At 46.1% G+C, this 15,270-nt stretch overlaps 1 pseudogene; it reads left to right on the forward strand.

The window, feature by feature from the left end:
• Positions 1,994 to 7,352, forward strand: KLHL5P1 (KLHL5 pseudogene 1; annotated as a pseudogene).

Here is a 15,270-nt window from a genome sequence, read left to right on the forward strand (position 1 = left end):
CTGGGCAACAGTGAGAGACCATGTTGGAAAAAAAAAAAGAAATTAATAACTGAGATTATTTCTCATTTTGGCTTTCTGTTACAGATTAAGTCAGACCAAGGAACTCATTTTACAGCAGAAATAAACAATTCGATTGCAAAAAAAAAAAACTCCTTTGGGGTACTCGTTAAAATTTCACACCCCATACCACCCCCAATCCTCAGCTCAAGTGAAATGTAAAAATTTAGACATAAAAAGGACATTAGGCTGTGTAAGATACAATGAATTTCTCTGAGTTTCTCTTCAAAGATTTAGCCTGCTAACTTCCTTGTCCTTTGTTCTCAAACTTAACTTTCCTGTTCCTCCTTGCCCCTAGTTACTGTAAAACAGCTTACCCCCTTCCCACCAGCTCTAATCAATAACTCACATCCTTTCCCTTGGTTATCTGTACGCGTTGTTCCCCCAAAACTGCATGTCTTACATGCTTCACCACTGTACCTCACGTACACTTTCCCTTCCATATTTAGAACAATATTTGCAAGTAGCTAATTGGATCAGCTCAGATTGTGCAGTCCAACCCCAGCCCATGGGGGAGTGACACAGAGGTAAGGACTATGCATCAGAGATAAAAACCCCCTGCTCCCCTTTGTTTGGTGTGCTCTTGCGATCTTGATTGACGGGAGTGGCACCCTTCTGCAGAAGTAAATTGCCTTGCTGTGAAAACTTTTGCCTGAGTGCTGGTTTCACTTTGTGGCACCAAGCATTTATTCCTGGAGCATTTTTATATTCAACAGGCTGGGTGCGGGGCTCACACCTGTAATCCCAGCACTGTGGGAGGCCCAGGTGGGCAGATCACTTGAGGTCAGGAATTCAAGACCAGCCTGGCCAACATGGTGAAACCCTGTCTCTACTAAAAATACAAAAATTAGTTGGGGGTGGTGGCACACCCCTGTAATCCCAGCTACTTGGGAGGCTGAGGCAGGAGAATCACTTGAACCTGGGAGGCAGAGGTTGCAGTGAGCCAGGATTGTGCCACTGCACTCCAGCCTGGGCGACAGTGTGAGACTCTATCTCAAAAAAAAGAAAAAGAAAAAAAGACGTTAGGAAAAATCTGTCAGGAAACTGAATTGAAGGGAGGAAAAACATTACCTCTTGTTGCCTTTTACCCCTTATGAAGTTTAGAATGCTCCAAATGGGAGGCGTGGATTAACTTCTTTTGAAATAGTGCTTGGTTTCCCTTTGCCTATTGGCATCTCTAAACCTTTCATTCCTGCATTGAGTGATCCCTGGATTATGGGGACTTCTTAAGTGAACAATGTGATGCTATGACAGCTACATAAAGGAACTAACTAGTAATCTTGGAGCATATAAATCATCAACAGGTAAAAAGGGCATAGCTTCTGCCAACTAACAAGCCTTGCCATCCTTTTTGACCAGGAGATTAGGTGTAAATCAAGGCTTTTAGAAGAAAGCATGCACTGTCACCAATGTTTTGGTCAACGATGGACCGAATATACAATGGTGTCCCCATCAGATTATAATGCCGGTGAGCCACCGCACCTGTCATCCTAGCACTTTGGTAGGCAGAGGCGGGTAGATCATTGAGCCCAGGAGTTTGAGACCAGTCTGGGCAACATGGTGAAATCCTGTCTCTACAAAAAATACAAAATAAACCAGTCATGGTGATGCGCACCTGTAGTCCCAGCTACTTAGAAGGCTGAGGTGGGAGACTCACCTGAGCCCAGGAAAGTCGAGACTGCGGTGAGCCATGATCATGCTACTGCACTCCAGCCAGGGCAACAGAGTGAGATCCTGTCTCAAAAAAAAAAAAAAAAAAAAGAAAGAAAGAAAAAAAAGATTATAATACCATATTTTTACTGTAGCTTTTCTATGTTTAGATATGTTTACATACAAAAATACTTATCATTGTGTGGGCTGGGTGGGCAGCCGATTGCGCAGTGCGGGGACTGATAGGCGAGCCAGTCTGGACCCCCATCCACTCACCCACCCCTCTGGGGCTACCTGAGGACTCTGACCACCCACCCCCCACCGCCTGGTGCCACCTGATGGAGCAAGATTGTCTAGCTTGGGGCCACCAACGCCGTAGATGAGGCTGCCAGGAAGGGGTTGGGGGCACACGAGCATCCCTCTCTGCCCTCGCCTCCCCCACTCCTCCACCCTGGCCTGCTGTGACTCCCTCCGGAGCCCGACGCGGACTTCCAGTAGTAGTCAGACGTTATCATCCTGTCATATTATGGAGCCATGTTCATCATGAATTTTTCCAAGCCCTGAATTATGCCGAACAAACATTTAAAAAAATGGAAAACTGTTTGAGACATAAACAGTTGTGCGATGTAATTTTAGTTGCTGGTGATGGCAGAATTCCAGCTCACAGATTGGTGCTCTCCTCTGGCTCAGACTATTTTGCTGCCATGTTTACTAATGATGTCAGAGAAGCAAGACAAGAAGACATAAAAATGGAAGGTGTAGAACCAAATTCATCGTGGTCCTTGATCCAATATGCTTATACAACCCGCCTTGAATTAAAAGAAGATAATACTGAGTGCCTGCTATCTACAGCTTGCCTTCTTCAGCTTTCACAGGCTGTAGAAGCATGTTGTAAATTTTTGTTTGTTTGTTTGTTTTGAGACAGAGTTTCGCTCTGCCGCCCAGTGTAGATCTCAGCTCACTGCAACCTCCGCCTCCCAGGTTCAAGCAATTCTCCTACTTCAGCCTCACGAGTAGCTGGGATTATAGGCGCCTGCCACCACGACCAGGTACTTTTTTGTATTTTTAGTAGAGACGGGGTTTCACCATGTTAGCCAGGCTGGTCTTGAACTCCTGACCTCAGGTGATCCGCCTGCCCTGGCCTCCCAAAGTGCTGGGATTACAGACGTGAGCCAGGGCACCAGGCCACATGTCATAAGTTTTTAATGAAACAGCTTCACCCATCCAGCTGTCTTGGAATTTGTTCTTTTGCTGATGCCTAAGGTTGTACAGATTTGCATAAAGTGGCTCACAATTATACTATTGAGCATTTCATGAAAGTAATCAGAAACCAGGAATTTGTATTATTACCAGCCAGCAAAATTGCAAAGTTCTTGACTAGTGATGACATGAACATTCCTGATGAGACAATATTGACTCCACTTCTTACTTGGGTCTGTCATGATTTGGAACAGAGATGGAAAGATCTAAGTAAACTTTTGGCTAATATTAGGCTACCTCTTCTTTCACCACAGTTCCTGGCAGACATGGAAAATAATGTACTTTTTTGGGATAATATAGAATGTCAGAAACTCATTATGGAAGCAATGAAGTACCATGTATTACCAGAGAGATGACCCACGTTACAAAGTCCTCAGGCAAAATCTAGGAAATCAACTGTTGGTACATTATTTGCAGTTGGGAGAATGGATTCAACAAAAGGAGCAACAAGCATTGAAAAGTATGACCTCTGTACAAATACATGAACTCCAGTAGCAAATATGAATGAGAGGAGGCTACAGTTTGGTGTCGCAGTGCTAGATGACAAACCGTATGTGGTTGGAGGAAGAGATGGACTGAAGACTTTGAATACTGTAGAGTGCTACAACCCCAAAACAAAAACAGGGAGTGTGGTGCCACCTATGTCCACACATAGACATGGCCTTGGTGTGGCTGTACTGGAAGGTCCCATGTATGCCGTAGGAGGGCATGAGGGCTGGGGCCATCTGAACACAGCGGAAATTTGGGACCCTCAGGCTCGCCAGTGGAATTTTGTTGCCACTGTGTCTACTCCTAGGAGCACAGTTGGTGTGGCAGTGCTAAGTGGAAAACTTAATGCAGTTGGTGGTGGTGATGCAAGTTCTTGTCTCAAATCAGTAGAATGTTTTGATCCTCATACTAGTGAGTGGACTGTTGGTAGAAGAGCTGAGGCAGGACTGGCTTGTCTGTCATAATGTAAAAGAGTCTTGAAAGATGTCCGGGGTCCACGGCCTAAAACCCCTCATGGCCTTTGGTACACCAAGCTCTGTGCCATAGGGTGGAAGGCTGCCCTGCCGCAACACAAATCTAAGCCCAGGGCATAAAACCCCGTGTGGCTTGGATGGAACCCAGGGCTCAGGGCATAAAACTCCTCATAGCCTCTGGAATGTGCACAGACTTGTTGGTTCCTTGCTTCTTACTCGTAAACATGTCCTCCATTATCTCAAGTAGCAGAGCATATTCTACATGCATCAAAGGAAGTGCTAAGCTGTCACAGCTACGCTTAATGCACCACTAGCTTTCTATCCCCACGTTCTCATGCCCTCACCTGTTTACCCTCACATCCTCACCACCTGCTTCTTTGTTTGATCACCAATAAATAGTGTGGGCTCCCAGAGCTCGGGGCCTTTGCAGCCTTCAATCTAGTGCCGGCCCCCCGGACCCACTTTATGCACTTTTAACTTATCTTTTCACATTCCTCTGACCCCGCCAGACTTTGTAGCCCCCACGGCCTGGTGTTAGGCCTGATCACCCCAACATGGACACTGTGTGCACGGATGTCAAAAAGGAGAGGTGGCATAGGAGTAACGACCCGGAGCGGACTGCTGTATGCTATAGGGGAACATGATGCTCTCACATCCAACTTGACTTCCAGACTCTCAGATTGTGTGGAGACATCTGATCCCAAAACAGACATGTGGACTACAGTAGAATCAATGAGCATCAGCAGAGATGCAGTGGAGGTCTGTTTACTTGTTGATAAGTTTTATGCTGTTGGGAGGTATGATGGACAGGCATACCTGAATACAGTGGAGGCTCATGATCCCAGACAAAGAGTGGACCCGGGTTGCTCCACTGTGCCTAGGAAGAGCTGGAGCTTGTGCTGTGACTGTAAAATTATAATTTAGTGCTCTGTTTTCTACATGAAGACACTCTCTTCCTTTATTAATTTAGTACAATTATTCTACCATCAATGGATGCATTTTTAGTAAACATGCATTGCCACAATCCTGGGCACAAAGTACCTGATCTCAAAGCAAAGATAGTAAAACAACGGAGGAAGGAGTGGATGGACCAGGATTAATTGCTTTCAATTCTTAGTAAATGAAAACCTGCAGCTGGTGGATTGTGAACAAACATTCCTGATGTAACATATTAGGACAGATGCACTGCTCTGGAACATAGCCCAGTGCTAGCTGGGGATCTCATTTATTCAGTCAAGCACATCTTACTCATGCGGGTGGCAAGCCACCCAGGTGCCGAGGCAAGAAACCGAGGGCACGAGCTGTTCCAGTATAATAAAATATATAAAATAAGAATAGTTATACTAGATATAGATCTTAGATATGATTATATATATATCATTAATCATTAGTTTGCAGCAATTATTCTTTATTCCAATATTATAATAATTCTTGCTCTACAATCATAACCTAGGAAAAACCAGGCCATACAGAGATAGGAGCTGAGGGAACATAGTGAGAAGTGACCAGAAGACGAGTGCGAGCTTTCTGTTATGCCCGGACAGGGCCACCAGAGGGCTCCTTTGTCCAGCAGTAGCGCCAGCATCTGGGAAGATGCCCGTTGCCAAGCAGACCCTGGTCTAGCGGTAGCGTCAGTGTCAAGGAAAAACACCTGCTACTTAGCAGACCGGGAAAGGGAGTCTCCCTTTCCCCAGGGGATTTTAGAGAAGACTCTACTCCTCCACCTCTTGTGGAGGGCCTGACATCAGTCAGGCCCGCCTGCAGTTATCCGGAGGCCTAACTGTCTCCCTGTGATGCTGTGCTTCAGTGGTCATGCTCCTAGTCCACCTTCATGTTCCATCCTGTACACCTGGCTCTGCCTTTTGGATAGCAGTAGCAAATTAGTGAAAGTACTAAAAGTCTCTGATAGCAGAAATAATGGTGTAAGCTCTCTCTCTCTTTCTCCTCTCTCTCTCTCTGCCTCGGCTGCCAGGGAGGGAAGGACCCCCTGTCCAGTGGACACATGACCCACGTGACCTTACCTATTATTGGAGATGGCTCACACTCCTTACCCTACCCCTTTGTCTTGTATCCAATAAATATCAACACAGCCTGGCATTTGGGGCCACTACCGGTTTCTGCATCTTGGTGGTAGTGGTCCCCTGGGCCCAGCTGTCTTTTCTCTTATCTCTTTGTCTTGTGTCTTTATTTCTACACTCTCTCATCTCCACACATGAGGAGAAAACTCACTGACCCTGTAGGGCTGGACCCTACATACTCATATCCAGATTTATTTTCTTACAGTGCAAACACACCAGATGGAACTTCTAAAATGTTGCTTTCTATAAGTTTATCATCTATGAGTTGCAGTAATTTGTTTGTTTGCTTGTTTGTTTAACCACAATCACTATTTTAATGATATACTAAACATAATACTATTTAGTTTTTTCAGAAACATCGGCATTGTATGTGTGTTGGTTGTGGATTTTGTTTCTAAAATTGGCTTAGTCCAATAAAGAAAGAAAAGCATTAAAGACTTAAAGCAATGATAACCAAATACAACCTTGATAAAATCTTTGAAGTCTATTTAAATATTCATTCCATTACATCTAGACTCACCAAAAACTGTATGTCATGATATTCTTAAGTCGAAGTTGAAACATGATGTTTCACATTAAATTTAAGATATGCAGCTTGGCGAGGTGGCTCATGCCTGTAATCCCAGCACTTTGGGAGGCCAAGGCAGATGGATCATGAGGTCAGGAGTTGGAGACCAGCCTGGCCAACATGATGAAACCCCATCTCTACTAAAAATGTAAAAATTAGCTGGGCATGGTAGTGCACGCCTGTAATCCCAGCTATTCAGGAGGCTGAGGCAGGAGAATTTCTTGAACCCAGGAGGCAGAGGTTGCAGTGAGCTGAGATTGTGCCACTACACTCTAGCCTGGGTGACAGAGTGAGACTCCATCTCAGGAAAAAATAAAATAAAAACAAATAAATTTAAGATATGCAAATTTAAATAGAGAAAATAAACGTTATATACCCTATAATGTTATTTCACCTAATTAGTACTTAATTATATGGATTTATTTTATATTATAAAAGATGTTTTGATTTTTTCTTTTGATATTGACAACATTGTTTGGATATTCTTATGTTGTCAAGGCTGCACCTGCCTCCCCTGCCTTATTTCTTATGTTTTGCCACAGTTAACCCATTGTGCTTCTTTGTAATCAAACGGTTTGGGGAGGGGGGAGAAAGGGCTTACTGAATGTCTAAAAAAACAAGTTTAAAGTGTTTGTTACCCAAAGTTTGGTGCATTTGTAAACTCTAATTACATATGTGAATGTTAATACCCTCAGTGAATTGTTATTGTTTGCAAAAATGCACTGGGCAGTAACATTTTGTGATAAATCCTACAATGCAAGATATAAGTAAAAGAAAATACTTATCATTGTGTTACACCATGTACATTATTCAGTATACTAACATGCTGTATGGGTTTGTAGCCTAGGAGCAGGTGGGCTACACAATATAGCCTAGGTGTGTAGTAGGCTATATCATCTAGGTCTGTGTAAGTACACTCTGTGATGTCTACACAACGACAAAAGTACCTAAAGATGCATTTCTCAGAATGCATCCCTGTCATTAAGCAATGCCTGACTGCACTGCTAACCACCTACACTGCCATCAAGTTGGGGAAAAGTCCTCCTGGATTCATGTGAATTACACCAAGATAGACCCAGATCAGCACTCTGAGGACAACTGGAAGACCCTCCCTACAGGTGACCTTAAAGTAACGATTTCCCAGACTGGTTCCCAGGCCTCAGAAGCAGATGACATTTTAAAGTAGACAGCTTTCCTCAAGATCATGGATCAAGAAACTTCACTTCCACCTGTTTTCTCACATTGGGCCTCCTTGTCCAAAAAGCAAAAACCAAAAGAACCTCTTCCTTTTAATGAAGCCTCCTTTTTCTCTGGCCATTTATTAAAAAGCTGACTGGAAATTGCTTGTCTCAATCCTGTCCTCTGATTCTCCCTCTGATCCTACACTATGGGTTCTCTTTGAGGTGGTGTCTCATTCTTAGTAACCCTTACTGTTTTCTCAACAGGTCAAAAACAGAGCTGACACCCCGTTACACCAACTCTCCAAATCTTGTCCACTTTAATTAATCTGATTACTGGTTATGTCAACATCTAGATCATGCAGAAGAACTTGAACCGATTTTCATTCCTGCCAATGCCAGGACTCGGTGGGCCAACTATGAAAACTGGGTATGTGACAGGGTGTGGCATCCACAACTGAGAAAACAACATCACTTTACTTCTTCTTTTGATGGATTAATTGGACATGGACAAACCTCTATGGAAGCTCAAGGTCTGTCCTGTGCTCAGGTAGTCATTAAATGAAGGAAATTTGCTGGGTATGGTGGCTCAAGCCTGTAATCTCAACACTTTGGCAGGCAGAGGTGGGCAGATTGCTTAAGCTCAGGAGTTGAGACCAGCTTGACCAACATGGTGAAACCCTATCTCTACACAAAACACACAAAAAATTAGTAGAGTGTGGTGGTGGGCACCTGTGGTCCCAGCTACTCAGGAGGCTGAGGTGGAAGAATCGCTTGAGCCCGGGAGGTGGAGAATGCAGTGAGCTGTGATCACACCACTGCACTTCAGCCTGGGCAACAGAGCAAGACCCTATCTTAAAAAAAAAGAAAATGTTCCCTTTGTTTTAAAAACAAGTATAGTGCTGAATGATTTATAGGTGACATAGCAAGATGATATTACAGTTGAATCCTGTGATTTGGTTCCACAGGTGGCATCCTCAAGCCTCCCATGAAGGTTATAGAAGGTTCTGGCACTGACTCTTATGGTACAAACACTTGTCATATCACTGGATGTTACAGTAAGCTCACAAGCCACCCTTGTATAATATGGGGTAGCTCATCTGCTCTCTTCATTAGGCTGCCAAACACTAGACATTAAATACGGGTAGACCAAAAATCTGGACAAACTTGGTCACATAACAAAACCAAGCCACAGACATGTCAAGGCCAAACTGCAGGCCTCCTATATTAGATATTTTGCAACCCATTCTCCTACAGACTGACAAAGACACATGGAAGATGGATGTGTGCAGATGCCTACATGATAGGTGACAAGACACCAGCCCCCAACCTGGTGGGTCATGAGTTCCACTCTGAACTTATCTGTGAACAACATTGGTCTTTTTATCTTATGTGGCAACAGATTATATAAAGGTTCTCACCTAAATGGTCAGGTCAATGTAGAATTGGATACCCAACACCTTCTATCACCAGGTGTCACTTTAAATGTCAGCCAAATTACAAACTTGGGCTCTTTTATACACAAAGTAATACCACATGAACATACTAGATATGACATCAGGGAAAACCCACTTGTATGTTACAATTCTAAGTTATTTTCAGTATTGAGATCCTTTTTTCCAGGCGTTGGAAATTATGTGACAGAAAGGGCAGTTCTAAATCTTTCCATAATAATAGAACAAGAGTTCAATATTACTCTGCAAAAATTGGTAGCACTCGGCCGGGCGCGGTGGCTCACTCCTGTAATCCCAGCACTTTGGGAGGCCGAGGCAGGTGGATCATGAGGTCAGGAGATCGAGACCATCCTGGCTAACATGGTGAAACCCCGTCTCTCCTAAAAATACAAAAAATTAGCCAGGCGTGGTTGCAGGCACCTGTAGTCCCAGCTACTCGGGAGGCTGAGGTCAGAGAATGGCCTGAATCCGGGAGGTGGAGCTTGCATTGAGCTGAGATCACGCCACTGCACTCCAGACTGGGTGACAGAGTGAAACTCCATCTCAAAAAACAAACGAAAAAAAAATTGGTAGCACTCCAATTAGAAGTTAATAGTTTAGGAATTTATGGCCCAGGTAGGGGCAGTCTCTCTTGGATCAGCAAGTCCTCAGGATGTCAAAGCAGTCCGGGCGCGGTGATCCACACCTGAAATCCTAGCACCTTGGGAGACTGAGATGGGAGACTCACTTAAGGCCAGCACTGGGCAACATGGCAAGACACCAGCTCTACAACAACAACAACAAAAAATTAAAAATTAGATGGGTGTGGTGGTACATGCCTGTAGTTCCAGCTGCTCAGGAGGCTGAGGCAGGAGGATCACTAGAGCCCAGAAGGTCAAGGCTGCAGTGAGCTATAACTGCACCACTGACTCCAGCCTTGGTGACAGAGCGAGACCCTGTCTCAAAAAACAAAACAAAATGTATGAATGAACCTAGGAAATCAATCAACCATAATAAAAAGTTTAATTAAAAGTAATGGCAAATCAGGCGTTGTGGCTCACGCCTGTAATCTCAGCACTTTGGGAGGCCAAGGCAAGTGGATCACTTGAGGCCAGGAGTTCAAGACCAGCCTGGCCAACATGGTGAAATCCTGTCTTTACTAAAAATACAAAAATTAGCTGGGCATGGTGGCCTGCACCTGTACTCCCAGCTACTTGGGAGGTTAAAGCAGGAGAATCGCTTGAAGCCAGGAGGTGGAGGTTGCAGTGAGGTGAGATTGCGCCACTGCACTCCAGCCTGGGTGACAGAGTGAGACCCTGTCTCAAATAAATAAATAAATAAATAAATAAAATAAAAGTAATGGCAAAAACCATGATTACTTTTAGACCAACCTAATATAATTGCACCACTGCACTCCAGCCTGGCAGAGTGAGACCCTGTCTCTACAAAAATGTAAAATAAACTTAAAAAATGTCAAAGCGTGATAAAGTACAGGACATAAAGACCATGATTAATCTAACACCCATCACTCCAATCTTTGCCTCTGTTCTGGCATTCCCCTATGTGTCTTCGCATCACCCTCCTTCTGGGTGACTCCTTTATGTTGTATTTTTTTGTTTTGTTTGGGTTTTTTTGTTAGTTTGTTTTGAGACAGAGTCTTGCTCTGTTGCCCAGGCTGGAGTGTAGTGGTGTGATCTTGGCTCACTGTTACCTCTGCCTCCCAAGTTCGTACCTCAGCCTCCCGAGTAGTTGGGATTACAGGCATGCGCCACCATGCCCTGCTAATTTTTGTATTTTTAGTAGAGACGGGGTTTTGCCATGTTGGCCAGGCTGGTCTCAGACTCCTGGCTCAAGTGACCTGCCCACCTCAGCCTCCTAAAGTGTTGGGAATACAGGCATAAGCCACCCCGCCCGGCCACCCCACTCATTTTGAATGTAAGTAGATTACCAATTCTGAAATGGGTTTTGAGCAGTAGCAACATTGACACAAATTTATAATATTTTCAAGAAGATACTTCCTTCAATATGTAAAATGCAACAGATATCATTTGCAATCATACATATGTACATATATACATACACACATATAATATATATATCTCACCATGGAATAAGTCTGAGCTGAAACATGCATTACTTAAAAAAGAAAAAACTTACAGACAGGATCTTGCTCTGTCATCCAGGCTGAAGTACAGTGGCACGATTGTGGCTCACTGCAGCCTTGACCTCCTGGGCTCAAGTGATCCTCCCACCTCAGCCTCCCAAGTAGCTGGGACTACAGGCATCAGCTACCTCGCCTGGCCTGCATGATCTTTATGAAGAATGTCATAGAAAGTTTTTGAAAGCGATTAAAGTTGACCTAAACAAGCGGGGATCTATGCTGTATGCCATGCTATTATTGGGGAGGAAAAAAATTCTCCTCTACATTCCTAGGGTCTCTGGAGATCTGGGCCTAAGAATAAAACTAAGACAGATTAGCTCTCTCCCTCTCCCTCTCCCTCTCCCTCTCCCCATGGTCTCCCTCTCCCCATGGTCTCCCTCTCCCTCTCTTTCCACCGTCTCCCTCTCATGCCGAGCCGAAGCTGGACTATACTGCTGCCATCTCGGCTCACTGCAACCTCCCTGCCTGATTCTCCTGCCTCAGCCTGCCGAGTGCCTGCAATTGCAGGCACGCACCGCCACGCCTGACTGGTTTTCGTATTTTTTTGGTGGAGACGGGGTTTCGCTGTGTTGGCCGGGCTGGTCTCCAGCTCCTAACCACGAGTGATCCGCCAGCCTCGGCCTCCTGAGGTGCCGGGATTGCAGACGGAGTCTCGTTCACTCAGTGCTCAATGGTGCCCAGGCTGGAGTGCAATGGCGTGATCTCGGCTTGCTACAACCTCCACCTCCCAGCCGCCTGCCTTGGCCTCCCAAAGTGCCGAGATTGCAGCCTCTGCCCGGCCGCCACCCCGTCTGGGAAGTGAGGAGCGTCTCTGCCTGGCCGCCCATCGTCTGGGATGTGAGGAGCCCCTCTGCCTGGCTGCCCAGTCTGGAAAGTGAGGAGCGTCTCTGCCCTGCCGCCATCCCATCTGGGAAGTGAGGAGCGCCTCTTCCCGGCCGCCATCACATCTAGGAAGTGAGGAGCGTCTCTGCCCGGCTGCCCATCGTCTGGGATGTGGGGAGTGGCTCTGCCCCGCCGCCCCGTCTGGGATGTGAGGAGCGCCTCTGCCCGGCCGCCACCCCGTCTGGGAGGTGAGGAGAGTCTCTGCCCGGCCGCCCCATCTGAGAAGTGAGGAGACCCTCTGCCTGGCAACCGCCCCGTCTGTGAAGTGAGGAGCCCCTCTGCCCGGCAGCCGCCCCGTCCGGGAGGGAGGTGGGGGGGTCAGCCCCCCGCCCGGCCAGCCGCCCCGTCCGGGAGGTGAGGGGCACCTCTGCCCGGCCGCCCCTACTGGGAAGTGAGGAGCCCCTCTGCCCGGCCACCACCCCCTCTGGGAGGTGTGCCCAACAGCTCATTGAGAGCGGGCCAGGATGACAATGGCGGCTTTGTGGAATAGAAAGGGGGGAAAGGTGGGGAAAAGATTGAGAAGTCGGATGGTTGCCGTGTCTGTGTAGAGAGAGGTAGACATGGGAGACTTTTCATTTTGTTCTGTACTAAGAAAGGTTCTTCTGCCTTGGGATCCTGTTGATCTGTGACCTTACCCCCAACCCTGTGCTCTCTGAAACATGTGCTGTGTCCACTCAGGGTTAAATGGATTAAGGGCGGTGCAAGATGTGCTTTGTTAAACAGACGCTTGAAGGCAGCATGCTCCTTAAGAGTCATCACCACTCCCTAATCTCAAGTACCCAGGGACACAAACGCTGCGGAAGGCCGCAGGGTCCTCTGCCTAGGAAAACCAGAGACCTTTGTTCACTTGTTTATCTGCTGACCTTCCCTCCACTATTGTCCTATGACCCTGCCAAATCCCCCTCTGTGAGAAACACCCAAGAATGATCAATAATAATAAAAAAAAAAAGACAGATTAACAGAAGAAAATCATTCAAGTTTTGCTAAATTTTCAGTGTACATGGGTACTTTCACAAGAGAATGAAGGCCTAAAGAAGTCACTAAAGTAGAAAAAGTTTCTATCCTTTAAATAGAAAAACAATTTTTTTTAAGACAAGGTCGGGCACGGTGGCTCACGCCTGTAATCCCAGCACTTTGGGAGGCCAAGGCGGGCAGATCACGAGGTCAGGAGATCGAGACCACCCTGGCTAACTCGGTGAAACCCCGTCTCTACTAAAAACACAAAAAAATTAGCTGGGCGCAGTGGCGGGCACCTGTAGTCCCAGCTACTCGGGAGGCTGAGGCAGAAGAATGGCATGAACCCGGGAGGTGGAGCCTGCAGTGAGCAGAGATCGTGCCACTACACTCCAGCCTGGGTGACAGAGCAAGACTCTGCCTCAAAAAAAAAAAAAAAAAAAAAAGACAAGACAAAGCGGTTTGGATTATAGGCAGTAAATTGTGGAGAAGGGACTAGGACATACATGCGGAGCAAAATTGGAAGATAAGGATTATTTTTAGTCGTGTGTTTATACAGATCCATTGGAACCTTGATTCACAGTCACCTGTGATGACAATGTTCTTCTCTTCCTGGTAAAGGGAGGGTGCTTTCTTATGGGAAATTGTGTGGCCTATTCTTAGATAGAAAAGGGCAGGTCAGAGAGTCTTTCCTGCATGTGCTATTTCTCAAGTGCCTTCAACTCAAAATAATTAATACTCCAAAGCAGCATATTTGGGGTGACGTGTCTTTAATTCCTTCATTTCCCCTGCTGCAGACTTTCCTAGAAGTTTCAGATATTAAAAGCTGAGTTGGTGGCTATGGAGATAAGAGCCAGATTCATAACGAGGGATCTACAAATGGGGAGAAGAACATAGATAAGAATAGGAATGAATAAGCTGAAAGGAACAGGTCTGAGCACATTTCCCCTTATCCTGTTAAACACACATCCCATTGCTGGGACAAGGTCAGTACAGCAGAAGGAATGCACCTCTTTTGTTTGATGGAGAGTGTTTAGCTTGTTCTTTAACAGGTGCAGCTTAGGCACTATTTGTCCCAGTGGATTTACACAGACCAGCCTTATCCACCAATGATCACACAAACTCCTCCTTTTGAGGCTGTCAGTGTGTCCAGGGTGCAACAATTTTGGAATACAGCAGAAGCTAAGCTATTAACTTCTTTTGTTGTGGTTGCTGTTGTTGTTTTGAGACAGAATCTCACTTTGTTGAGTGCAGGCTGGAGTGCAGTGGTGCGATCATGGCTCGCTGCATCCCTGGCCTCCTGGGCTCAAGTGATCCTCCCACCTCAGCCCCCAGAGTAGCTGGAACTACTAGTACACCCTGCTAATTTTTAAACTTTTTGTAGAGACAGTCTCACTATGTTGTCCAGGCTGGCCTCGAACTTCTGGGCTCAAGTGATCCTCCCTCCTCAGCCTTCCAAAGTGCTGGGATTAGAGGCCTCAGCCACCATGCCCAGATTGCTTTGACATCTTGAGGCCTTAGTGATCCAAGAGAGACTGCCCCTCCCTGGGCCAGCTAATTCCTACAGAGAATAAATGATTTGCTTATGGTGTGCCTTCGATGGGCCAATCAACCGATTCGTATCTCCAAGATAACTTTACCAGCCACCTTCCAGCAGGTTCCTGCCCCAAATCACTCCAGGGACAGGTACCAGGTAACAAAGGACCACTCCTATAACCTAGAGCCCATCACAGTTATTGAAACTAGCCAGGCCTAAGTCTGTTTACCCTGTCTTGCCTTCTTGCAAAAAACACAGAAAACCCTTTGTCCACCTTTCGCCCTCACTCATTCTGCCACCTGACTGGCCCTGGTGCTTCCCCATGGCCCTGCATGGTGTGGCGTGTCCCCCCTATCATCTTGGGAACTGTGAGTAACAAACTGTCTTTTAAATGGCTATCACCTCTGATCTGTGGCCTCGCCATACCTGAATAAAGCCAAAATCCCGGGTACATTTTAAAACAAGTCTACAAGTCAAGGAATGCCGGGGTGGTTGACGTAGTGGCACTCAGGAAGGCAAGGGCAGTGCCCCTGACCGGCCCCTTCTGCAG

This window comes from Homo sapiens, chromosome 22 (genome assembly GCF_000001405.40).
Source record: "Homo sapiens chromosome 22, GRCh38.p14 Primary Assembly".
NCBI lineage: Eukaryota > Metazoa > Chordata > Mammalia > Primates > Hominidae > Homo > Homo sapiens.